This window comes from Homo sapiens, chromosome 5 (genome assembly GCF_000001405.40).
Source record: "Homo sapiens chromosome 5, GRCh38.p14 Primary Assembly".
Lineage (NCBI taxonomy): Eukaryota > Metazoa > Chordata > Mammalia > Primates > Hominidae > Homo > Homo sapiens.
The window spans coordinates 147,581,168-147,608,314 of record NC_000005.10 but is presented as its reverse complement, the minus strand read 5'-3'; the positions used below and the strand labels follow the sequence as shown (position 1 = coordinate 147,608,314).

Sequence of the window (27,147 nt, the reverse complement as noted above, 5' to 3'; positions counted from 1 at the left end):
CACTAAATCCCCACAGGAGAAAGTGGGAAAGATCTAAAATCACCACCCTAACATCACAATGAAAAGAACTAGAGAATCAAGAGCAAACAAATTCAAAAGTTAGCAGAATACAAGAAATAACTAAGATCAGAGCAAAACTGAAGGAGATAGAGACACGAAAAACCCTTCAAAAAATCAATGAATCCAGGAGCTGGTTTTTTGAAAAAATCAACAAAATACATAGACCGCTAGCCAGACTAATAAACAAGAAAAGAGAGAAGAATCAAATAGACACAATAAAAAATGATAAAGGGGGGATCACCACTGATCCCACAGAAATACAAACTACGATCAGAGAATACTATAAACACCTCTATGCAAATAAATAGAAAATCTAGAAGAAATTGATAAATTCCTGGACACATACACCCTCCCAAGGCTAAACCAAGAAGAAGTCAAATCCCTGAATAGACCAATAAGAAGTTCTGAAATAGAGGCAGTAATTAATTGCCTACCAACCAAAAAAAGCCCAGGACCAGGCGGATTCACAGCTGAATTCTACCAGAGGTACAAAGAGGAGTTGGTACCATTCATTCTGAAACTATTCCAAACAATAGAAAAAAAGGGACTTCTCCCTAACTCATTTTATGAGGCCAGCATCATTCTGATATAAAACCTGGCAGAGACACAACAACAACAACAAAATTTCAGGCCAGTATCCCTGATGAGCATCGTTGTGACAATCCTCAATAAAATACTGGCAAACCAAATCCAGCAGCACATTAAAAACCTTATCCACCACGATCGCATTGGCTTCATCCCTGGGATGCAAGCCTGGTTCAACATACATAAATCAATAAACGTAATCCATCACATAAACAGAACCAATGACAAAAACCACATGATTATCTCAATAGATGCAGAAAAGGCCTTTGATAAAATTCAACACCCATTCATGCTAAAAACACTCAATAAACTAGGTATTGATGGAACATATCTCAAAATAATAAGAGCTGTTTATGACAGACCCACAGCCAATATCATACTGAATGGGCAAAAGCTGGAAGCATTCCCTTTGAAAACCGGCACAAAACAAGGATGCTGTCTCTTACCACTCCTATTCAACATAGTATTGGAAGTTTTGGCCAGTATAATCAGACAAGAGAAAGAAATAAAGTGTATTCAGATAGGAAGAGAGGAAGTCAAATTGTCTCTGTTTGCAGATGACATGATTGTATATTTAGAAAACCCCATTGTCTCAGCCCAAAAACTCCTTAAGCTGATAAGCAACTTCAGCAAACTCTCAAGATACAAAATCAATGTGCAAAAATCACAAGCATTCCTATACACCAATAATAGACAGAGAGCCAAATCATGAGTGAACTCCCATTCACAATTGCTACAAGGAGAATAAAATACCTAGGAATACAACTTACGTGGGAAGGACCACTTCAAGAAGAACTAAAATCCACTACTCAAGGCAATAAGAGAGAACACAAACAAATGGAAAAACATTCCATGCTCATGGATAGAAAGAATCAGTATCATGAAAATGGCCATACTGCCCAAAGTAATTTATAGATTCAATGCTATTCCCATCAAGCTACCATTTACTTTCTTCACAGAATTAGAAAAAACTGTTTTAAATTTCATATGGAACCAAAGATGAGCCCATATAGCCAAGACAATCCTAGCAAAAAGAACAAAGCTGGAGGCATCATGCTACCTGACTTCAGACCATACTACAAGTCTACAGTAAACAAAACAGCATAGTACTGGTAACAAAACAGATATATAGACCAATGGAACAGAACAGAGGCCTCAGAAATAACACCACACATCTACAACCATCGGATCTTTGACAAACCTGCCAAAAACAAGCAATGGGGAAAGGATTCCCTATTTAATAAAAGGTGTTCAGAAAACCAGCTAGCCACATTCAGAAAACTCAAACTGGACCCCTTCCTTACACCTTATACGAAAATTAACTCAAGATGGATTAAAGATTTAAACGTAAGACCTAAAACCATAAAAACCTTAGAAGAAAATCTAGGCAATACCATTCAGGACATAAGCATGGGCAAAGACTTCATGACTAAAACACCAAAAGCAATGGCAACAAAATCCAAAATTGACAAATAGGATCTAATTAAGCTAAAGAGCATCTGCACAGCAAAAAAAACTATCATCAGAGTGAACAGATAACCTACAGAATGGGAGGGAATTTTTGCAATCTATCCATCTGAAAAAGGGCTGTTATCCAGAATCTACAGGGAACTTAAACAAATTTACAAGGAAAAAAGCAAACAACCCCATCAAAAAGTGGGCAAAGGATGTGAACAGACGCTTTTCAAAATAAGACATAATGCAGCCAACAAACATGAAAAAAAGCTCATCATCACTGGTCATTAGAGAAATGCAAATTAAAACCACAATGAGATACCATCTCACACCAGTTAGAATGGCTATCATTAAAAAGTCAGGAAACAATAGATGCTGGAGAGGATGTGGAGAAATAGGAATGATTTTACATGATTGGCGGGAGTGTAAATTAGTTCAACCATTGTGGAAGACAGTGTGGTGATTCCTCAAGGATCTAGAACTAGAAATACCATTTGACCCAGCAATCTCATTACTGGATTTATAACCCAAAGGATTATAAATTATAAACCCATTACTGGATATATAACCCAAAGGATTATGAATCATTCTACTATAAAGACCTATGCACACGTATGTTTATTGCAGCACTATTCACAATAACAAAGACTTGGAACCAACCCAAATGCCCATGATTGTTAGATTGGAAAAAGAAAATGTGGCACAGGCCCAGGCCCGGTGGCTCACACCTGTAATCCCAGCACTTTGGGAGGCCGAGGTGGGCGGATCACCAGGTCAGGAGATCGAGACCATCCTAGTTAACACGGTGAAACCCTGTCTCTACTAAAAATACAAAAAATTAGCCGGGTGAGGTGGTGGGAGCCTGTAGTCCCAGCTACTGGAGAGGCTGAGGCAGGAGAATGGCATGAACCTGGGAGGCGGAGCTTGCAGTGAGCCAAGATCATGCCACTGCACTCCAGCCTGGGCGACAGAGCAAGACTCCGTCTCAAAAAAAAAAAAAAAAAAAAAAAATGTGGCACATATACACCATGGAATACTATGCAACCATAAAAAACGATGAGTTTGTATCCTTTGCAGGGACATGGATGAAGTTGGAAACAGTCATTCTCAGCAAACTAACAGAGGAATAGAAAACCAAACACTGCATGTTCTCACTCATAAGTGGGAGTTGAACAATGAGAACATACGGGCACAGGTTGGGGAACATCACACACCAGGGCCTGTCGGGGGGTGGGGAGCAAGGGGAGGGATAGCATTAGGAGAAATACCTAATGTAGATGACGGGTTGATGGGTGCAGCAAACCACCATGGCACATGTATACTTATGTAACAAACCTGCACGTTCTGCGCATATATCCCAGAACTTAAAGTATAATAATAATAATAATAATAATAATAATAATAATAATAATAAAATGTCTGGCCCAAGACACCAGGAATATTCTGCTGAGGGAAATAGCAAGGATGCCAAAGAGGTTTTTCTCTGGAATTCCAATCAGATTGACTGAAAGTAGCTACCTGAATCCCTGTATGGTAAAATGTTATGGCTGTTTTATAATAGCTTCCATAGGCACACAAGAAGAAAGTAGCAAACTATCTGCCCTTCCTGCAATAATGGTTAAAATTTGGTTAATCCCAGATTGCTTCTATAATTATCCATATATGTGAGGTTAAAGGGAGTTGGTGGGCTCAAGTAGCTAGACCACCAGGCATCCAGATTTTTATATAGGGTGGGTCTTCAGGTACTCATTTGACCTTAAGTAAATAACTTCACCTCCTCTGTCTAAGCCATATCTCTAAAACAGGGATGATAACACTTGTCCCTTCTTCTTCCCATGGGTTCCATGAGGAACAAATGAGGTCACTTATGTGAAAAAGGAAACACTAAAAATGTGTAAGTCAAATTCTAAAAGTGTAATTTTTAAAATTTCTGACCCAAAGTATACATTCTCTGCAAAATTTTAAATTTGAATTTCTCACATTTCAGAAGGGGCTATTTAGTTTTGCAGGATTGAGTGAGGCAACAATAACATACAATAAATTTCCCAGTGATTGGCAGGAAGCCCCACAGAAGGCAGGGATTGCTTTCAGCTTCCCTGTTTGTCAAAGACCACACTTAATATCTTCCATTTTCCACACTTGTGAATGGCCAGCTCTTAGCTCTCTCTCTCTGCTAATTCATAAGCTACCCTAGGGCTGGCTCAAGGAAGAAGTCAAAGTTAAGGCTATTCTTCCCCCAAAACTCGATGATACCCATTCAGTCCCCATCCAGCTGAGGTTTAAAAAAAACAAAAAGGGGAGAAAACAAAATCTATCAACGTCATCACCCTAGCCATTCTCTAAATAAAACCCTCAAAAATTTTGGAAGAAGGGAGATTAAGATCATGTTCATTGTTGGAATTCAATGTAAACTTTTTCACAATTCTTTTGCTCAGTACACTTTACGGGTCTGAACTTCCTGAACTTTTATGATAATGGGGTAATAATCTTACTTCAAAGAAAATAAGGATCTAATTATCAACCTTGCATATTTCACATATGGTAGCAAATTCAACCACTTCAAAAACAATCCAGTTGACTTCTGATTAGATATTTGACTAGAGATGAGGTTTATGATTCACCTTCTACTCATTGGACTTCAGTTCTCCTCACCCTTAAGTCTAGTAAAAAGGCTAAAGATCCTGTATGCCAGAGATACTCTTCATTCTTCCCTTGTGGTACGTGAACACCCACTCAGGGTACATGTAATATCCCCTCTTTATTGTTTATTTCAGTGAATCAGTTGGTAACAACAAACCTAGCAAAATTGCTTCAGCTGTGTGCAGCACTTATCTAGAGCATAATATCTGTATGCACCATATCTAGAGCACTTCCACTGCCATCATTTCATCTGATTCTCATAATTACTCTATGAGACAGACACTACAGATGTTATGATCCCCTTTTATACAAATAATAAAACAATGGCTCAAAGAAATTAAACAACTTGCCCAAAATTATATAACCAATTTATGGCAAGTCAAAACCAGAGGTCAGGGTGTCTGACTCCAAATGGCATGATCTGCCCACCACACGGCAGGGATTAAGACTCTCATTACAGATTAAGTGATGGGCATCTCCTCATGCCCAAAGAGGTAGCTCTGATATCTGATCTTCTCATAGAAATAGCAGGAATGGGAATTCGTCCATTACTCTCATTCTCGAACTTCTCCTGCTATAAGTCTACCTTCAAGGAATGAAGAAAAGCAACAGTTTTTGCTTTTCAGAATAATAGACTAGCCACCAATACATGCCTCTTAGAGCCATACTCATAACTTGTTTATAGAATTTAGCCATAGTGAAGCAAGAACCTTATAAGCAGTAGCATTAAAGGAAATATGCTAATAACATTCACAATATGAGAATGCCAGACATAACCCTTATTCACAGATGTGTCCAACGGTATGTTCCTGGAGTGTGATAATCAAGTAAAAGACTTACTCTGTAAAATAAAACCACCAAGGAAATCAATTATTTTTTTTAAAACTGACCTGACCCATGACTTTTTATAGTTAGTATACGGTTAGTTATATACCTGTGCTACTCAAGCACTGTTTGTCCATCCAATTATCTGTTTCTCAAGTGAAAAATTTGGTGAAGAGAAACAAATCAGACTCCATTTAACTTCCATGACTCAAATAAGAAGAAGTCTATCTTGGAGGTGGAACAACATCACGCATTTATTATGTGAAATGCCCATTGATGCAGAAGCAGGTTTTATACCAATAGCATGACCAGATGTCCCCACTTGCCTAGGACAGACCCAGTTTTTACCCATCAACCCAATGTAATTATTAACAGTGTCCATTTCTCTCTCTGAAATGTTCCACTGTGAGTAATTAAGTATATATTTAGCCTACAGATTAATATTCTCCCAGCTGTGCCTTAATCCTAAAACCTATCATAGTAACCAAAAAAGATAGTACTGCATGATTAAGTGTATGTTCTGATCGTATTTTGTGTTTTTGAAATACCCTCTTGTGCATGAAAGAGACAGTGATATATAATAAAGTAGGATTCAGGCTAGCTAAGCTTTAGCCCTCACTGTGCCATAAAATTGTATGAAATTAAACTATTGATTTACTGCTCTGTGCTTATTTTTCTTATCTGTAAAATTAGGAGCTTAGACCAATTGTTCGTAAGACCACCTCATGATTCTAAAATGTATGAATCAATGTTAGTTGAACACTGATACTCTGTCAGTAGCTACATAAAAGGTGTGGATTTTTTTAAACAAAAAGGTGCTTGATGTTCATGTGTGAAGTGATTAGACTTGAGCAATATGGAAAAGCTGAGGTTTTGTACTACCTGAATGGCACTACAGAAATTCAGATTTACATAATCTTCTTCTTTTTCTTCTGCAGTTTCTGTTTCTATTCTTGTTCTTCTCTCTTGCCTTTATTCTATGGCCTTGATGTCAAGGTGCCTCTTAAAGGTAAGATTCCATTTAATTCTCAAAATGTGGTTCTAAGAGGTATTTGATAAAAAGGATGTTACCTATAGTTACTATGCCTTTCTTTAGTTTTTTGTTTTGTTTTGTTTTGTTTTGTTTTGTTTTGTTTTGTTTTGTTTTGAGACAGAGTCTTGTTCTGTCACCCAGGCTGGAATACAGTGGCACAATCAGATCATTCACTGGCAGCCTCAATCTCCCAGGCTCAAAGCGATCCTCCAACCTCAGCCTCCTGAGTAGCTGGGACTACAGGCATGTGTCACCATGCTCAGCTAATTTTTTTTTATTATTATTTTTAGTAGAGACAAGGTCTCACTTTGTTGCCCAGGGTAGTCTTGAACTTCAGAGCTCAAGCAATCCTCCTGCCTTAGCCTCCCAAAGTGTTGACCAAGCCATCAGGCCTGGTCTATATATTTTAACTATGCTATATTTTTAAAATACAAACACACTTGCTTTGGTTAGCATAAATGCCATAAATTGAGAAATAGATCCAGTCTATTTGGGTGATTATTAGAAAAGTGAAGAAACCAAATATTCTGGGAATCAAGAATCTGTTCCAGTTAACTGTATTACTTTGGGAAGTCACAATGTCTGTGGTTGTTAGCATTCTCATCATAGTCTCCCATTATGCAGAAAGTTGCATCTGTATCTGCAAAGTGAATAAATAATGACGTTATCTTTAGTGTTGCGTTCAGCTTGAAAATTCTGATTCTGCTAATCTAACAAGCTAGTAATGACTGCTGTTTTTTTCACCCCTTTTCCCCAGTAGAGACTAGGGAGTTCATTAAAACTCAAGAAAGCAGGCTAAGTGGATCTTGTTTTCAAATAAGTTACTTTTCAATGTCAATATAGAAAACAAAAAGGAGAGTCTTATAATTACTATTATTAAGTCCATGTCTCATGAATACATGCATAAATAATCTTAGTGATTCCCAGTGCTTAAAAATATAGATTTTTAAGCCCCACCTCAGACTTGCTGAGTCAGATCACTGGAGATAGAGGGAGATAGAGAGAGGGTGGGAGAGATGAGAGCAAGGACTGGTCTGTATTTAACAAGCACGCTATGTGATTCTGATGGCCGGCCAAATAGGGAAACCACAAATCTCAATACCACTGTTCAAAAAGAAGAAGGGCCAGCGGCTATTCTAAATCCATTTATCATGGTTCATGTCAACTCTGATTATCCTATTAAATTATATTAGCCTGAGATCTTTCCTGGACCTCAGGTGATTTAACATTTTCTACAGCAAGTTGGAAAACAGAAGAGAGGCACTTTCTCCCTCCATAGGTATGAGATCTGTTACCTGGATATGGAACAGACAAGTAAAAGTGCTTTAGAATAACCTGATACAAGCAAAGAGTTAAGTAGATATGCTCAGAAAATATATGAACTCATAACTCACTCTCTGGCTATATTCTTTCTTCCAAAATATTTTCTTTTCAGATTGACCACTATCCTTTGTCTGTCAAGAAAGATGACAGCCTTGTAGGATGGAAAGAAGAGGACTAAGTCTCTTAAATTGAATGGGAATATCCAAATTGAAGTGGAGGGAGATTCACTAGTAAAGGATCAAAATGACCAGAGTATCAGGAAACAAACAGCCTCCCCCCACCAAAAAAAAAAAAAAAAAAAAAAAACAGTAAATAAATTTTAAAAGTAGGGAAAATAAATTTCAGTAAGAGACAAGTAATACATGGTGGTTTACAGAAGAAATATCAAACCTTGTAAGTACTAGGTAGAAAATGGATAGGCTTCAGCATTAACATCAATGCTGGCCAAAGCTGATTATGTCCTGGGAGCTGTTCTAAGTAATAGATACATTTAATCCTCATGAAATCCCCTGTGGGATAGGTATTGCTTTTATCCCTAATTTGTAGTTGGAGAAACTACAGCATGTGACTTTCCCAAGACCATCCAGCTACCAATTTGTACCCAGGCAGCCTCAGCCCAGAATCCACTTCTAACCACCAAACTGCCTCACAAGTAAAAAAGGGCCTTTCTCCCATGTTTCAAGCAACATTGGCGTTCATATGTATCCTCATCAGAAGCGTCATCTATTTGTATAGTACTACTTAGCTACTGGCTTTTGAAATTACAGTGTGCTCGTCTCTGTACCTTTTCCCATTTTGTGTAACTCCTTGAGGGATGTACAAGATTTGATGTTTTTCCTCCAAAGTAGCACATAAATGACACTTAGTAATTGTCTGTTAAGTGAATGACTATAATGATAATTAATAATATAGCCGATGAATGTGACAGTGAATCTGGGCAATAAATATATTGCATATGCAGTAAAATGGCTGAGAGGTTAGAGTGCACAGCTTACAAGTCAGATATAATTTAAAGCTTGAGTCCTGCCATTTACTAGTTGTGTGATGATAGGCAGTTTATTTAATCCACCCAAGATTAGGTTTCCTATTCCACAAAATGGTTATAATCATGTTACCTACAGCAGGGTGTTGTGTTGAGAGAATGAGACGAGGTTATGCATGTCAAAGGCATAACAGTGCCTGGAAAATCATTAATCAGTAACTCTTAGCTATTATTAGATTTAAAAATTAGCTACCACATTTACTGAATTCAAAATTACACTAAATTATACTAGTATTCTAGTATACAAAATTATACTAAATTCAAAATTATAACCTCTAGTACTGCCAAGTAGTTTTCAGCCTAAACCCAAACAAATAGTTGCTTTTTCATCTCCTCTTCTCAGGGAATAATCTGGCTTTAAATAATATTAGGGAATAAAACATCACTGAAAACTGATCAATGCTACTTATGTCTCCAAAGTTGGCAAGATAGAAATAGGAAGAAGTAAGGGAAAAAGTGCTTCTTTATTGGTAGGTAGTGAAAGCTTACTGCAAATTACGATAAATTTTTTTCCATACTAAATTAATGATTTGTATTGTGTTCATAAACCCAAGACTAGCTTAAATGACAAAGTCCTCCTTAAAATGGAGAGACTCCTACTTTTTTTCTTTTAGTAATTGCCTAAGTCATTATTGTCAGTAATGATATAGAAGCCATCGAACGCTCCCTAGAAGGCACCCTTACTGGACTCAGTGCTGGCATTGACTAAATAACTGCATGGATTATATCAGGACTTTTACTTTAAACAAGGGGACTCCAAGTAGTTCCAGAAGATATTATCTGGCTATGCATTCTGGTTTTCCAAACGAATGGCATATCAATGTATTAGTCAGGTTCTCCAGAGAGGTAACCAATAGCATAGATAGATAGATAGATGATACATAGATAGATGATAGATAGATAGATAGATAGATAGATAGATAGATGAAAATGAGAGCGGCTTTATTAAGAGAATTCGCTCACCTGGTTATGGGGGTGGAGAAGTCCCATGGTAAGCCATCTGCACGCTGGAGAACCAGAGAAGCAACATGGCTCTGTTCAAATCAGAAACCCAAGAACCGCTGATGGCTCACGCCTGTAATCCCAGCACTTTGGGAGGCTGAGGCTGGCAGATCACAAGGTCAGGAGTTCAAAACCAGCCTGGCCAATATGGTGAAACCGCGTCTCTAATAAAAATACAAAAATTAGCCAGGCGTGGTGGCGGGCGCCTGTAGTCCCAGCTACTTTTGGGAGGCTGAGGGAGGAGAATTGCTTGAACCTGGGAGGTGGAGGTTGCAGTGAGCTGAGATCGCACCATTGCATTCCAGCCTGGGCGACAAAATGAGACCCCATCTCAAAAAATAAAGAAAAAAAAAAAAGGAATAAGAAGACCCAAGAACCAAGGAAGCCAGAGGTGTAACTCTCAGTCAAAGGCCAAAGGCTTGAGAGCCCCAGGAGGCTGCTGGTGCAAGTCCCAGAGTCCAAAGGCTGAAGGACCTGGAGTTACTAGGCATTCACTCCACCTTCATGGCCTCTCATCAGGTTCCAACTCCCAACACTGTTGCACTAGGGATTAAGTTTCTAACACACGCTTTGTGGGAGACACATTTAAGCCATAGCAACGACTCATTGTGTCACATTACATGGTTACACAGGGAGACAAAGGAAAGAAAAAAATTAGAGGAATACAAAAATAGCTATCACCAGATTAGCTGCTATACCCAGGTTGCAATGACCCATTGAAAATCCTCCTTTTCTGAGCAAGGATGAAATAATGAAGAACATGACAGCACCAGTTTTGCTCATTATGAAGTTGGGAGGACCACAGAACAGGTGATCATGATTATTTATCCACATACACTGGCCTAGCTCATTTTTACTGTCCCCCACTGGACAAATTTTACATGCATTTGGAGATATATGTATATAAATTTTAATGATATTTCTCCAGTGTTAACCATAAATTTTTGAACTTGACAGCCCAATATTTTTACTTCCTGTCTAATAACATGAAAAATTTTAAAAGGCACATAATACTATGTTATTGTTCTAATGGAAAAAAACTTAAGAAAAATTAAGTACTGTATTATTTGTTAAAACGTGCAAATATTTACTCAGGTAGCCTGGGGAAAACAAATGGCCACATGACCAGTCTCTATTATATTCGTCATTTAGAGTATTAGTACGATCGGCCAGGCGCGGTGGCTCACTCCTGTAATCCCAGCACTTTGGGAGGCTGAGGCAGGCGGATCACCTGAGGTCAGGAGTTCGAGACCAGCCTGGCCAACATGATGAAACCCCATTCTACTAAAAAAAAAAAAAAAATACAAAAATTAGCCAGGCATGGTGGTCCGTGCCTATAATCCCAGCTACTTGGGAGGCTAAGGCAGGAGAATCACTTAGAACCCAGGAGGCAGAGGCTGCAGTGAGCCAAGATTGTACCACTACACTCCAGCCTGGGTGACAGAGTAAGACTCCATCCCCCCACCAAAAAAATAAAGTATTAGTAGGAAAATTTTACTCCTTAGTTTTTACATGGATAAGGAAAGTCTAAGATGAATCAGTTTATGCCAGTTAGTAATTCCTTTTTGTGTAAATATATCCATTAGCTTTATCCAGTCATATATAAATTGTTTCCCTATTTGTCTCACAAATTGTACTAATAAAGCATAGGGTAGGAGTTATGTTTTATTCATCTTTGTATCTTTAGTGTCTATAACAGTGCCTTATCTATCCTAGGTGCAGAATAAATTTCAGATTGACAGATGAACTGAGAGGCAGATGGATGAATGAATAGCTGGGAAAATGAATATGAAAGCAGATTTGGGATATGTTAGATCAGAACCATGAATAGAGTTGTCGTATCTTTCAAAGATAACTCATATTCAATTTGTTTTTTTATATACCATTTGAAGACTACCTTAAAGAATGCATTGACAAAGGAAAGAGGACATAAACAAATATATTATCCCCTCCTCCACAGCTGAAGTAGCCCACTAACTGGGCTCAGTGCTTCCACTATAGACATTCTTATAACTCATTCTCCACACAGCAGTTAGAGTGAGTTTTAGAAAGGCAAACCTTACCTTGACCCCCATCCTAGGAAAATATCACTGTGTTAGGATCAAGTTCCTTCAACCAATCTATTGATAACAAGTTAAAAAAAAAAAAAGATCAAATTTGAATTTTTTAACTTGGCCAACAAAGCCCTGCATGGTCTAACCACACGGGCAATCTCTCAGGCTTCCTGTTGCTCCAGTTTCCCTTAATGAACCATGTGCCTTCCTGCCTTCCACAGGGTTTGCCCAAGCTGACTTGGTGCACAGAATGCTTCCCTTCTGCTTTAACTAGTAAACACCTACTACTCACCTATCCTTCGGATCTCAGTTCAGTTGTGATTCCCACAAGGGCATCTTTCTTGACTTCCTTTCTGAACAAATTTTACATACATTGGGGAAATATATATATAAATACACATTTTTTTAATTAATGTCACTCTTTCTCATTGTAAATAAGCTTGATGCAGATAATGACCATATAATTTTGTTCAACCTTGTATACCAAATACCTAGCACATAACCAACAGTGTCTAGCACATAGTCAACAATCAATAAATACTTTTAAAATAATATTAATGATATTTCAATAAGGAAGGAGAGTACAACTTGCTTTACAGTTCAAAAGGTACATTTATATTTATTATTTTATGTAATACTTACAACAATTCTGCATAATGGAGACCATTATAACTCTCTGTCTTAGTCCATTTGTGCTATTATAACAAAATACCTGAGACTAGGTAATTTATGAGTAATAGTAATGTATTGCTCACCACTCTGGAGGCTGGAAATTGAAGATCGAGGCACCAGCAGGTTTGGTGTCTGGTGAGGGCCTGGTGTCTACTTCCAAGATGGCGCCTTGTTGTTGCATCCCCTGGAGGGGGCAAAGCTGTGTCACAGGACAGAAGGAACAGAGGGGCAAAAGAGCCTAAGTTAGTTCTCTCCAGCTCTTTCATAAGGCACTAATCCCTCATCCATTCTGCACTCATGGCCTAATAACCTCCTAAAAGCCTCACCTGTTAATACTCTTGCACTGGGGATTAACTTTCAGCATGAATTTTGGAGGGGACAAAAACATTCAAAATATAGCACTCTCCAAACGTTAATTTTCTAATATAAAAAATTAGCAAGTAATAGCACCCATTATTTTTCTGAGGATTGAGTAATATTATACAGGTAAAGCAACTAGTTTAGTAGTTGGCACATAGAAAGGCTCATTAAAGGTCAAGTCTGTAGACATACCAAGCATTCTGTCTTGAATCATGCCTTTCAAGATGTGCTTCCATCTTCTGGGACCACATTTCCCACATCACCATTAAATGGTTGATACCCATTCATCCTTCCCGTCTCAGTGGAAAATCAGGGAAGCTTTCCCTGATCCTCCAGCTTCAGTTACATTTCATACAATATTATTATGTCTTCCCTACCAGGATTTTTATGGACCAATTATTTAATAATCTTCAGTCTCAGTGTACTCATCTGTATTGTGGAGGTAATATTAATAGCTACCATTTATTGAATACTTTATGACAAATTGCATATAAAGGGTGAGGAGTGGAAGGTGTCAGAGATGGCCCTTGTGTTCCTAGATGGTGTAACTGGTTAAACGGTGGTGCCCTTACAGATGCTACAACCACAAGTCAGAAGCCACATCACCGTACTCAAGACTTGGAGTTTGTGGCATTAGCTGGGCACAGTGGCTCTGTAATCACAGCATTTTGAGAGGCTGAGGCAGGTGGATCACTTGAGCCCAGGAGTTTAAGACCAGCCTGGGAAACATGGTGAAATCCCATCTCTACAAAAGTACAAAAACTAGCTGGGTATGGGGGCACATACCTGTAGTACCAGCTACTTGGGAGGCTGAAGTGCAAGGATGGCTTAAGCCCCAGAGGTCGATGCTGCAGTGAGACAAGATTGCACCACTGTACTCCATCCTGAGCAACAAAGCAAGACCCTGTATCAAAAAGAAAAAAAAAGAATTTGTAGCATGCAGTAAAGTCTCAAAAATGATAGTGGCAATTGCTGTTTTCCACAGATGAGGAAACTAAATTGTAGCACTGTTATGCAACCTGTTAAAAAGAACTCCTGTTACCCACTGGGTAACTGCAATAACTCAGAATGCTAATTTGAATAAATCTGGCTTCACTATAGAAATAATAGTTCCTTTTACAAGTACTTCTCAATTCATAGAAACTTAACATTCCAGGAGACTGCCTGGACTGCCTGTAAGTCCATTGGTTTTTAAAACCAACATGTGTTTACTCAAATGAGGGGTTTTACCTCGGTTGTGATAGGTGGAAATGATGCATACATGCTTTGACACAATATATAGGATTTAATCTTTGATATGCTATACATTGAAAGTTTGCAAGTAAAAGACTTTTTGTGTTTGTATATTTATTCTATATTTAAAAACACACAAACAAAAATACATCCCTGAAGAATTTTTTATATACATTCAGATCAACTCTCTTATTTACCATGGAATAGGAGAATGTTGTGTTTGTAACTAGTTATTTGGGGCTCTCATCCCAGTGGAATGTAAATATGTACTCAATCTATTTTCTCAAATCATAGCTTTCTTCACTCAGGCTCTGTCTTATTTCCCTCTCTCATCTTTTAATTAAATATTAGGTTGGTCCCCCAACTTCTCAGTCACTTTCAATCCTCAAAAGTCTTAAGCCAGTTTAAAAGTTCAATTTCAGACTCTGTTTTATTCTCATTTCTTCCCTTATCCTCCCTTAGGCATGAGCCAAGTACCCCCATGGAGCTGTAGTTCAGGGTCTGACTCTACGAGAACTCTTCCTCTTCTCTTCCTCTTCAAGGCTCAGCCGTTCTGGAGAGCAGGGAGGAAGAAGAGGGAAAAGGATTCTCCCTCTCAGCTCCTTTGACAGTGATTGCAGATGTTTCTTTGGCTACTGTTGACCAACACTTGATATCTTTTCTATGAGAGGTGACCAAAGGCTGGCCATTCTGGGCAACATATGTGTGAATTCTTCAGAAGGGTGTGCAGGGGATGCCCACTGCCCTATTCCCAGTCTGGCCAAGGCCCAGACTCTTCCACTGCCTCACTGGCTCCCTTCGTTGGTGGTGCAACCCACAGCTTTTTGCTAAGGAGGTAGCTTTTTGATGGAGTGTGGAGCAAGGAGACAACTACGCTGTAGCGCCTGTCTCTGCCCTGTCATCACTCTTCAGTTCTCTGCTCACATATAAGCAAGGGAAGATGAGAAAGTCTATGTCTGAGCAATAGGAGGCAAGTATGCCTCTGTGAATCCACCATCAATATCTTTACGCCTCTTCGTACCTCCTCCTCATTCCCTCAGTGTGATCTCTCCCCGACCACTGTACTTCCTTCCCACAGGTTCTCCTCTGTGACTCTGTCACTCTTCCATCCCAGTCTAACCTTGTCTTGGGAGCAAAATGGCTCTGCAAATATGCCTTTGGATCTTTAAGTTGCCCCTGGTTGGTAGACTAGAAGTATCCTTGGGGTACTAAGTGCCTCCTTTTCCTCCACTTTAGATTGTGGTTTTAACATTTAACTTTGGATTTAACATTTCTGGAATAATAGTAAAGTCTTTCTACAGAATCAGTATCCTTATTTTATAGATGAGGAGATTGAGGCTTAGAGAAGTTAAATAAATTAGCTTTGGGCATACAGCAAGAAAATAGAAATCCCATTTTCTCTATCCATGTTGTTCAGACCCTAAAGGCCATTCCCTTAAGTAGGACATGATAGCACAACCTCATAGCACATCTTCTGTGCTATTTCTGGCTTTCATTGGAAGACAGCATTACGACCTAGACTTCTACACAAGTGAAAACTCAGACATATGGACTTACAGAGGAACAGGGCTAGGAGTCCTGACTGGCACATCCCCAGGGTAGCACCTTTTCAGGGACATCTCTGGGCCAACCAAGAAACCTGTGTGGCAGAATTCCCAGGGAGTTCTTCAATCAGGACTTTAGGTGGAGACAATTTGCCAATGGTTACAATTTTGTTGGGGAGGAAATGTGACATAGAATTAAGTCACTGAAGGGAATAGACAGGTCTGCTATTAAAATAACATCTTGCAGAAACAGTAGATACTGGAGACTTCAAAAGTGGGGAGGTAGAGAAGTGGCAGTGTTTGAAAAACTACCTATTGGGTACTATTTTCACTTTTGTGTGATGGGTTCAATAGAAGCCCAGACTTCTGCATCATGAAATATATCCATGTAACCAACCTGCACATTTACCTTCTGAATCTAAAATAAGTTTCAAAAATAAAATAACATCTTAAATGGATATGTTGGGGCATGATTATTCAATTTAACTTCTTAGCTATCACCTTGGAAGGCCTCAGAGGAAAAAGCAGTAATGATAATAATATTTCAGGCAACTTACTTTGAGACAAGAACCATTAATTGTTTTATATGCATTGTGTTGCAACAACCTTTGACATAGAGACTTCTATTTTCTCCCTTAAAATTAAAGTAACTAAGCTTAGAGATGTAACTTGCATAAGATCATACACATCAAAGCAGTGGTAAAGAATAAAAAATTTGTGTCTTTTTTTAAAGTTTGTTTTTTATGATTCAGCTATTAACAAAATTGATATATAAATAATTTTTTTCCTCTGTTTTGCAGAGTAACCGAAAACATGGATAAGATCCCAGGAAGACAAGTGCTTCTAAACCTTCAAAGATGGCAAAATTGTTTACACCAGTGAGAGGGAGATCAAAAGCTAAGAACTACCCTGTAGCCAGGACTACAACTGTGTATTTTAAAGCCATTATTCAAGGTTTCTTACTTGACAGTTCCTACACAACCCTGTTGAAAATCTACAATATATGCTGCATTTAATGAAACATGTATATGTCAAATCAGAAGAGAAGAACTATAAACATATATTGTGTAAAGAAAAAGTTCAGCAATGGAACTAGTTTCTGCAGATCAAGCAAAGATGTGTCTTGGGCATGGAACCAAAGTTACAATGAAATATTCAACCCCTGCTGTGCAGGGGGGTCATTTTAATGTAACACCACACCCCATGGAAACACTAGTCCTGATAATAAACATCATTTTAAAAGATCAAAACAAACAAACAAAAAAAACAAGGGTGGGTGGGGAGTGAAGCACGAGGAATACCTATGAAGAGCTATTTACAATAAAATGTTTCATTTGAAAAGTCTGGTTTCTTACTACAGGGATTTGCTTTTCTGTCTTTATGATTGTTTTAAACTCAGGAACAGAGACATCCGCATCGTAAATGGGAAGAAAAACACTCTCTGTTTTGTTTTTCTGCAAAAGGTGGAGCTTGTGGAATTCATTCCACAGACGACAGATGAGAAGTGGATCACAGTGACCACAACAAAACTGGTAACGAAGTCAAAGGACCCGAGCGAATGTGACATGTGAAATAAAAGCAGATTCGATGCTTCCTTGTCCTACTCTCACATCTGCATTCCTCTATCAACAATGGACTGATCTCATTCATATTGAAAACTAAGAAGATGATACTGTAAATCACATGCTCCCTGACTTAGTTCTGTTTAGAACGCCAACATCTATAGGGAACATGGGCCAGAGAGCATCTCTGAATCTTTCATTTCCAAAATACTGTTTTTCAAATGGCTGCTTAAAATTGCCTGCAAATGAATATGCTATATGATTTGGGCAAAAACACAGCAGAATCAATGAGTAAATTTCTACCAAGAGTCGGGTTTGCCACAGAGATGTGAATATTAAACTAAACTATTATTTTTTAAAGAATCCTCACATGCCTAGAGCATTCTGACCTCTTCTTGTTTAGAGTGATAACATTTTTTCCCAGACAGATGACAGCAACAAGATAGCTCTACTTTTTTATATGGAAATAACATTATGTTACTGACAAGGTCATTTTCTACCAGAGACAATTAGAGGACTGGTACTTTTCCTAAGTTGTGTATTACTGAGTCTTGGAGTCATCTCTGAGAGCAAATGTATGTTCCTGAAAAGCTAATTTTACACCTCATTTACTGTAGATAACAGAACAACCTCAATTTTTCAAATTTTTGAAGTTTTATTTATGGGGCTAGAATTCCCATGCATAGAGAATATGTGTAGGGAGCCAGAAACTCTTTCTATGAAATGCTATACAAATCTTTCCATATGTGGGTTCACTATCATCCTTCAGTTTTAGCACTGGCATTTGCAAAGCCAGAACAATAACTGAAGAATGTACAATAAAAACTAGAATGCTGGGGTCCCACTTTTTGTTCTTACATTTACTGCTGACCCAGGTATCTTTGGCCCAGTCACTTAACCTCTCTGTGCCTCAGTTTCCTCATCTGCAAAATGGGGTTAAAATGCTTTTTCATAAAGTTTTATTTGCAATTTTAGAACAAGAGGTGCTTAAAGTAGCACAATGTGCTTTGTAATTATTACAAGTGCTGTATTATTTGACTTTCTTGTGTTGTTGACAAAAAGATTCCCTCATGTAATAAAATAGTGCTTCAGTTTGGTTAAATTTAAGCACTATAGCACTGAAGCTTGCTTATCAAGCTACTTGGGACATTATTAGCAATAAAAATTGAGAGATTCAAAACCAGGATCTTTAATAATCTATAGGAAATAGATCATCTCATGCTATTGAACAAGATAGAAGAGTGTGTCATTTCTATGATAAGCATCTCCCAGCTCTCTTGATTGCATATGCATGCCATCATACAGAACCCCACTTTTACCACAGGAGAGCCAGTCATTAAACAAAGGCTTGGAGCAAACTGACAGTATCACATAATTAGCTTGATTATCTTTTATTCTGGAGGAAAGCCAGGTGGTATGCCCTACTGGGAAGATACAAAACAGACTATCCTGCTGTATTCTTTTTTTTTTTTTTTTTTGAGATGGAGTCTTGCTCTGTTGCCCATGCTGGAGTGCATTGGCACAATCTCGGCTCATGGCAAGCTCCACCTCCTGGATTCAAGTGATTCTCCTGCCTCAACCTCCCTAGTAGCTGGGATTACAGGTGCACACCACCACACCTGGCTAATTTTTGTATTTTTAGTAGAGACAGGGTTTCACTATGCTGGTCAGGCTGGTCTCGAACTCCTGACCTCAAGTGATCTGCCTGCCTCAGCCTCCCAAAGTGCTAGGATTACAGGTGTAAGCCACTGTGCCCGGCCTCCTGCTGGATTCTTTATTCAACTAGGTAGGTTCCAGATTAAATATGAGCCATATGCTCATTAGGCAAGAAATGTGAAAGAGGGTGCCTCTACAGTGTTGGTGACCCAACACTAGCCAACTTGAGTCAGAAAATATGGAAGAGGATAAATTACTCTCACATATCTAAGACTTTTCCATTTTTCTTCACTTTCTGTTGCAGGGCCCATATGAGTAAATCTATATTCCGTCTGCTCCAACACACACCTTCCTTCTCTTAATTTTGCTTTCCCACCCACCAAGAAATTTGTAAGTCAAAATTTATTTCCATGAGTAACTATTTCTAAATGATTGAAAATTTTTGAAAAAGTGGTATGGTTTATATACCTAATCTGCTTATCTGCTATAAGTCATATGAGAACAACAGCTAGGATGATTGTCCAAGCAGCTTTAGATGTGTTTAGGGCCAGGCAAAAGGTTTGCTTGTTTTTTCTTTTTGCTTAAGATCTGGGAGATTAGCAAATTTCTCAAGACTATAGACTGAACTGTAATTTTTACCAACTCTTGCTCATGAGCCTCAAAATGAATATATCCTTGAATAAAGTATAAATATTTCAATAGATACATCTCTCTATTATCCATTTTCACAATTATAAAAGCATCAGCAAAATTGTGGATATGTGTTCCAGTCACTCATGGATCCATGGAAATGGACCGTGTTTAAATGAATGCTTCCCTTGGATGGGATGTTCAGCAATAGCAAAAAAAAAAAAAAAAAAGTTATCAATAACTGAGATTTCCTGTGGCCCCACTTCTGCATCTGTACTACCGAGATGCATTTGGCTACTGAGTTTGTAGCAGTCAGAACAGCATTCTTCCGGGTTCATTAACTTAATTTTTCTCAATAAAATATTCATACCCTGGAAAATAAACATAACTGACTACTAAAGATAATTTGAGATAAATAAAAGACCCAATTTAAATAGTTATTCAGGATAGAAAAATTTCATGAAAGAGGGGAAAAACATAGAGAGACTATCTTTGACTATCATACTTAAAAAGCATCTATTACTAAATTGAATGTCAAACTTTTCTTTAATGCCACCCTACTTTTAGGAAATAGAATTTGCTGAAAAAAATTACAACCCTTCTGACTTATGCTATATAAATTAAATTATTACCAACAGTTAGGTTTTAGGGGTGGAAGAATAGATCTTGATTTAATTTTTTTTTTTTTTTTTGGCCCACAAATAACTGCTCATACAGGTTGTATGTGTCTTCCCAAGTCCATAAGGTAGAGCTGATATAGAAGGCCTGGGTTATCACTTAGGTAGAGAGCAAATGTGTTCTCCACTAGTAATAGGAGAAATAAAGTTTGCCAAATAAATTTTGCTGCAGTATTTTGTTTCAACTTTGCTTTCAATTTTAAATAAATCTCTGGCAAACTTGTTCCTTTTTGCCCATTGACTGTCAAATTTTCCTGTAAACCCATTGTGTAATTCTTATGTTTGCTTTAACATAATTCACAAGTTCATTGTTTCAAAATGAAGCACGTCTTTTTAACCTGCCTAGGTTTTTGTAGAAACTGTAAAAAGAATATTCATTGGTTTTGTGTTGATGTTTAAATAATTGGATCATCTGTGTTATATTACATCAAGATAGATGGACAGCATAGAAATTTTATTTTTAAAATATTTAATTGCATTATTTCAATCTGTCAAAGAGTGGCACAGAATACACACACAAACACACACACACACACACACACACACAGAGCAATAGAAATTTGCTCTGTAATTTGGGAGTTGCATTGCTTGTTGCCTTTTGTGAAATTTTCATAACAGTGTTTTGGTAATTAATGACAGCTTTTGGCAGTTTAATTCTATCATTTTACTAATTTAGATTTATCTATTACATTGAAAAAATTCAATATAACTTTTGAATGATAAACATTCAAAGCAAATCTTAGATGACTGTTTATGTCATGAGTTTATGCTTCCAATATGGACCCAAGCCCCTCTTTAAGCAGACTTCTAGGTCTTAAGTGAGGAAAGATGTCATTGTGTTCTACTGCCTTGTCATTTCTATATAATGTAGTATCTTGAGATCTAATTTCAGGCATATTGGCAAGAAGATACAGACATAATGGAAAGTTGGAGCTAATCCCTGTAAGGCCTCTTCAAGTGCCAAATTCTATTATTCCATTTCAGAATGGGGCAGGGCAGATTCACAATCCTTTGCTGTCATTAGTTTGGCGGTTTAGTTCTTCCTAAATAAATCTCTTGCTGGGAGTCCAAGTCCAATGCTTAATCAAAATTCCTAAAGATAGCTACTCAGAAGGCTAAGGTGGCAGGATAGCTTGGGCCCAGGAGTTTCATAACGGCCTGGGCAACATGGTGAGACCTCATCTCAAAAAAAAAAAAAAAAAAGAAAGAAAGAAAAGAGGGAGAGAGGAAAAAAACTACTAAAGATATACTTATAGGGGCAATGTAGCAAAAATAGGATTATAATTTCCTATATTCAAATTAATGTGGCAGAGATACACGTGGTTGATTTGGTGAGGGTTCCTGTTTTTGTTTTTTTCTGCATTACGGTCTTTGTACCCATGCTTATATTTTCATCCTTGTTATATGCAAAGTTCTGTAGGGTGAGAATGGTAAAGTTAAACAACTTTGAGCCCAATTTTGCCCACAATCAAGATCCCACGAACTTACTAAAGAGTGGATGATGCAATTTTCCAACTAAAACAGATCCCCAGCATCTGTTAGTAACAACACTTCTATTTGACTGACATCTCACAGACTGTGCCTATACCAGCCATTAACCATAGCAACTTCCCACAATGAGGCAGATCAAAATCCAAACATTTTTATAAATATGTGATGTAAATATATGCACAGATATATTCTGTACATAGTATGATGGTGTGAGCGCTTACTAAACGTGTACTTCTGTTCTAGGATGCAGGACTTCAAGAAAGGTTTTTTCTGCGCTGCTGCTGCTTCTGCTGGGAACTCATGTTTTTGTCGAGCATTTAGTGTTTGAACTCTTCCCATCCTTGACTACCTCTTCTCTCCCTTACCCCACCTTCTGTTCACTACTATTATTTCCAATTGTTGACTGAGGCAGAGACCACTCGGTTTTTCAATTATCCAGGCCCATAAACCAGCAAATAGGTTTTTTTTATTTGTTTGGTTGGTTGGTTGATGTTTCTTTTTTTTGAAAGAGCAACAGAAAGTTCAGCACAATCTACAGTATTAAAATTAGCCAAAAGTCCCATATCTTTATTAGCTAAAAATTCCATCTCAACAGGGTTCATGCATGTTTTAGCCTTCAAGATCCAATACTTTGGGGACTCAAGTATAGAGCTAATGTGTTTGAATACATAATTCCCCAGGTGTTTACTGTGTTAATGTAGCCAAGGGTCCAATTTCACAGAGCTTTCATTCAATCAACTGCCTCAATTGGGGTTCTTTCTTTCCATCTCATTAGCATGACTCCATATATCACTTCAGTGCTTGTTTATTAATGAAAGAAAAATAAAAATTGACTGAGTTTCACCAGAATGATCCTCTGAAGTACACCGAATATGTACATGTACTGTATGTATTACCGTAGAGATTGGAATCAACTTACTGTATGTAAAGTTTTATGAATGGTTATTTTATAATTTATGTATTTAATATAGGAATCGATGAACTCTGGTGTTTTAGTTTATATAAAAATAAAACAAGCTGCATTTTTTAAAAACTTTATCTTTCATTGTTTATAGCTGTTTGTTTAATGAACTCTTCCACTTGTTTTTTTCTAAGACAGTCTTGGTCTGTTGCACAGGCTGGAGTGCAGTGGTGCGATCTCGGCTCACTGGCTCACTGCAACCTCCGCCTCCCAGGTTGAAGTGATTCTTCTGCCTCAGCCTCCCAAGTAGCTGAGACTACAGGCGTGCACTACCACACCTGGTAATTTCTTTGTATTTTTAGTAGAGATGGGGTTTCGTCATGTTGGTCGGACTGGTCTCGAACTCCTGGGCTCAAGCAATCCACCAGCCTTGGCTTCCCAAAGTGCTGGGAATTACAGGCATGAGCGACAGCGCCCTTCCTCTAATCTACTTTTGAAAAACAGGGTGAGGCAAATCAGGGCTATCAGTGTAATGTAGGGAAATAAACTCTATATCCAGGACAGTAAATAGATTTATTCTTGTCTTCCCATTCTGCATTTGTTACTGTGTGTGCTATGGGCACTATGATAAGGAGGCCAAAGCAGAATTTACACCCCTGAGGAAAAAACTATCATCATTAGCATCTCTGTTCTGAACATAGTTTGGGAGAGAATCTTGCCTGCTATTTTCCATCCTTATTCTGAATATTACTTCTTCTACTCTATCCATCTACCTTTTTTTCTACCTTGTAGACCCACTAGATATAGCAAATTAACAGGTGTGTGTTATGTGAGCATTGATCATGTGCACATTCCTATGTCTTATGTACATGTGGATCTACCCTCAAAGAGCTTACAGTCTCATGTGGGAAACAATCCCTGTATCCATGAACCAAATAAGAAACCAATATGACACAATAGAGGTACAACTTTGTAAGTCACCATGAAGAACTGTTAAAAATAGGCCAGGTGCAGTGGCTTACACCTGTAATCCCAGCAGTTTGGGAGGCTAAGGCAGGAGTATCCTTGAGGCCAGGAGTTCAAGATCAGCCTGAGCAACGTGACAAGAACCCATGTCTACAAAAATTTTTTACATGCCATTACCTGGCATGGTGGAACATGCTTATAGTCAGAGCTACTGGGAGACTAAGGAAGGAGGATCACTTGAGGCCAAGAGTTTAAGGTTACAGTGATCCCATCACTTCACTTTAGTCTAGACAACAGAGCAAGACCCCCAACTTTCAAAACAAAAAAGATAAAGAACTATCAAAAGTAATATTAAGCAGGATACTGTAGCTCACACTTGTAATACAGTGCTTTGGAAGGCTGAGGCGGGAGGATCACTTGAGGCCAGGAGTTTGAGACCAGCCTGGGCAACATAGCAAGACCCTTGTCTCTACTAAAAAATAATAATAAAAATTAGCCGGGCATGGTGGTGAGTGCCAATAGTCCCAGATACTTGAGAGGCTGAGGGGTGAGGATCACTTGAGCCCAGTAGTTCAAGGTTACAGTGAACTATGATCATGCCACTCCACTCCAGCCTGGGCAACAGAGCAAGACCCTGTCTCAAAGAAACAAAGAAAAATTAGTATTTTGGAATGGGCTCAATAAGATCCATGTCAAGAAGGTTTCCTCTTTTAATTGTAACCTCTTCATCTTTATTAGCAAAAAAAAAAAAAAAAAGTCACTCATCAGTTTGTATTCTGTCACTCATTCATAGGAAGCACTTATATGCCAGGAGCTATATCAAATTCTAAACACAGAGAAGAATAACACATAGGCCCACCTCTCAAGACATCACAATTTACATTATTTGATGATGGTTTACAACAATTGAGTCTCTATGAGAAAGGTACCTTACGTATCAGCATGCCATAAAACAGGCAGTTATTATGGGGTCCTGTATAACTTTATAAAAGAAAAGCTCTGTTTTGATTAACTCCAGTTTTGGTATATAATTCAAATGTGTTATGTCAACAACTCAACTGGCCTCTTCTAGATCCAGAGAAAATTACCCCAGTGTTTTTTGGAGATGCTAAAGTGGGCGGCAGGCACTTCCTTCCACAGTGCTAGTGAGACAAGGAAACATTTACTAGGCCCATACAAAACCCACACAAAGGAATTCCTCCCACCAGCTCATGACATAGCCCTGCCTCTGATCTACAGGTACAGTCGCAGAAGTGCAGAGATATAGTCAAATTCCTACCTACCCCATGGGTTAAGATTTGTGCCAAATGGCTGATAAAGAATGCTCATTTTATTTAAGCAAATTTGTAGCTACATATGAAATACAAAAGTAAATAGTGAAGGCTTTTTTTCCTCATTGAAAATCCTCTAGAGAAAAAAAATTCTGTTTTTAACCCAAAACATGTTTGTGCATACACATATTTATAAATATGAAGTAAATTTTTGGTCAAAAAGTTCTATAACAAATAGTCATTGGTAATTTGTGCCTGTAATTACCATAAAAATATTGAAAAAAAGGGCTATGACATCTGTGTCATTTATATGAAGCCCCACATGACACTTTCTTTTAGAATTTAGAAGAAGAAAAACACAAAAAAAATAACAACCACCTCAGGAGCCAGATTTTTCTTCCCTTGTGATAAGAGAAAATTTACTATGTTCCCATTTTGCCCTGACTGCCAACAAATGCAAAAACATATCTATATTTAATCGTGACATCTAATCAATTTTTTCTATTTTCTTTGTTATTTTATTGTTATTTATGTATTTATTTGTTTGAGATGGAGTTTCGCTCTTGTTGCCCAGGCTGGAGCGCAATGGCATGATCTCGGCTCACTGCAACCTCCACCTCCTGGGTTCAAGTGATTCTCTTGCCTCAGCCCATTGCAGGCATGTGCCACCATGCCCAGCTAATTTTGTATTTTTAGTAGAGATGGGGTTTCTCCATGTTGGTCAGGCTGGTCTCGAACTCCCAACCTCATGTGATCTGCCTACCTCGGCCTCTCAAAGTGCTGGGATTACAGGCATGAGCCACTGCACCCGGCCTATTTATTTTTTTTACAGTGAGGACTTGCTGTCGCCCAGGCTGGAGTGCAGTGATGCAATCATAGCTCACTGCAACCTTGAGCTCCTGGGCCCAAGCAATCCTCCCACCTCAGATTCCCGAAGTGCAAGGATTACAGGTGTGAGCCACTGCACCCAGCCTTTTTTATTTTATCGACCTTATTGTTTTGCCTTTCATTTGCTTTGATTTTGCCTTTAATTTACATTACCTCAAATCTTTTTTGTACAGTCATAAGATATGTATTCAATATAAAAAATGCACATTAAATATTCTTAGAGCCACCACAGAAATGTGTGTAGAAAAAAATATTCAAAACTTAGACATAAGGCAAATAAGAAGTATATGTCTCTATAGTTTCTCTGTAGTTTATAATATTCCAATTGGGGAAATACAATGATTCAAGAGAGCTCAGAAGTTTTACAATTCTATCAAGGTAGAGGCTAATTCATAGAAAAATGATAAGGTATGATGCGTTTTTCAACTTGATAGAAAAAATAAAACCATGCAAATAAAGATTGAGTTTTTGTCCTATAAGCACATTAACTACTTTTGTTTCTAACATACAGCTTTCATTTCAGCAGGTCTTACCCCATCCTTCAATTTCTTCTCAAACCAGCTCAGTCATTCTACTGGTTCCTTTAATTAACAAGGTATATGACATTTGGATACATGTTTGTTTGAGAATGATATTTTTAATAACTTAATGAGTTATTTTTCAAAATGTATTTTAAGGAATATTGAGATAGAGAAGACTTAGTCCTTGCTCTCAGTGACCTTACAGTAAAGTCAGACAGATAAAGCTGTAACAATAAAGTAGAACTCAGCACAGGATGGTTAAAGCCATAAGGATACCACAAGCTACTAAGTATCCTGAATGAATCTTTCATTCCAGACCTGCACCTTCTGCTACCTTCCCCAACTCACTGAGAGATGTTAGATGGAAATATGGTGGGTTCGTGAACTTAATTGTCATCTCCTTTTTTTCCCTCACCCTCTACAACTAATTCTTCCGAAGTCCTATTTATTTTAGTTCTGCAATCTATCCTCTATTCTTCATCACTTCCAAGAGTTTTTCACCTCAACTCTTGCAGCAACTTCCTAAATTAGCTAACTCAAGTTTTGCCACCTTAAAATACACCTTACTCATTGTTTTCAGCTTGATTTCATGTGCAAATCATACCAGGTTGTTCTCCTCTTTAAAATTCCTTCTTTGTTTCCCATTCCCATTAGCACCTGTGGTTGACTCTCAGATACTTATGGGAACTAAGCATTTAATATAAATATGGGATTTAGGAGTGGAGTAAGAGACTTTAGCCAAATGAAACACAAGCA

The 27,147-nt window shown here is 38.0% G+C and overlaps 1 protein-coding gene and 1 long non-coding RNA gene across 8 annotated transcripts in view; one reads left to right on the top strand and one right to left on the bottom strand.

The window, feature by feature from the left end:
- JAKMIP2 (janus kinase and microtubule interacting protein 2) overlaps positions 1 to 22,877 on the top strand; it is a 197,291-nt gene extending 174,414 nt beyond the window's left edge. For 3 of the 7 annotated variants that reach the window (NM_001282282.2, NM_001270934.2, NM_001270941.2), the window contains 2 exons: positions 6,504 to 6,574; positions 16,629 to 22,877. In NM_001282282.2, the coding sequence (NP_001269211.1) occupies positions 6,504 to 6,554 (51 nt within the window). In that variant the 3' untranslated portion in view covers positions 6,555 to 6,574; positions 16,629 to 22,877. Of the gene's footprint in view, positions 1 to 6,503; positions 6,579 to 16,628 lie in introns of those variants that run through there. The other 4 variants (XM_047417951.1, NM_014790.5, XM_047417950.1 and 1 more) reach the window with 2 other exon arrangements.
- Positions 1 to 27,147, bottom strand: part of JAKMIP2-AS1 (JAKMIP2 antisense RNA 1) — a 102,016-nt gene that overhangs the window by 53,695 nt on the left and 21,174 nt on the right. The window contains exons 2-3 of the long non-coding RNA NR_038902.1: positions 13,838 to 13,955; positions 12,775 to 12,875 (exon numbers count right to left, since the gene is read on the bottom strand). This is a non-coding gene — a long non-coding RNA (JAKMIP2 antisense RNA 1). The remainder of the gene's footprint in view (positions 1 to 12,774; positions 12,876 to 13,837; positions 13,956 to 27,147) is intronic.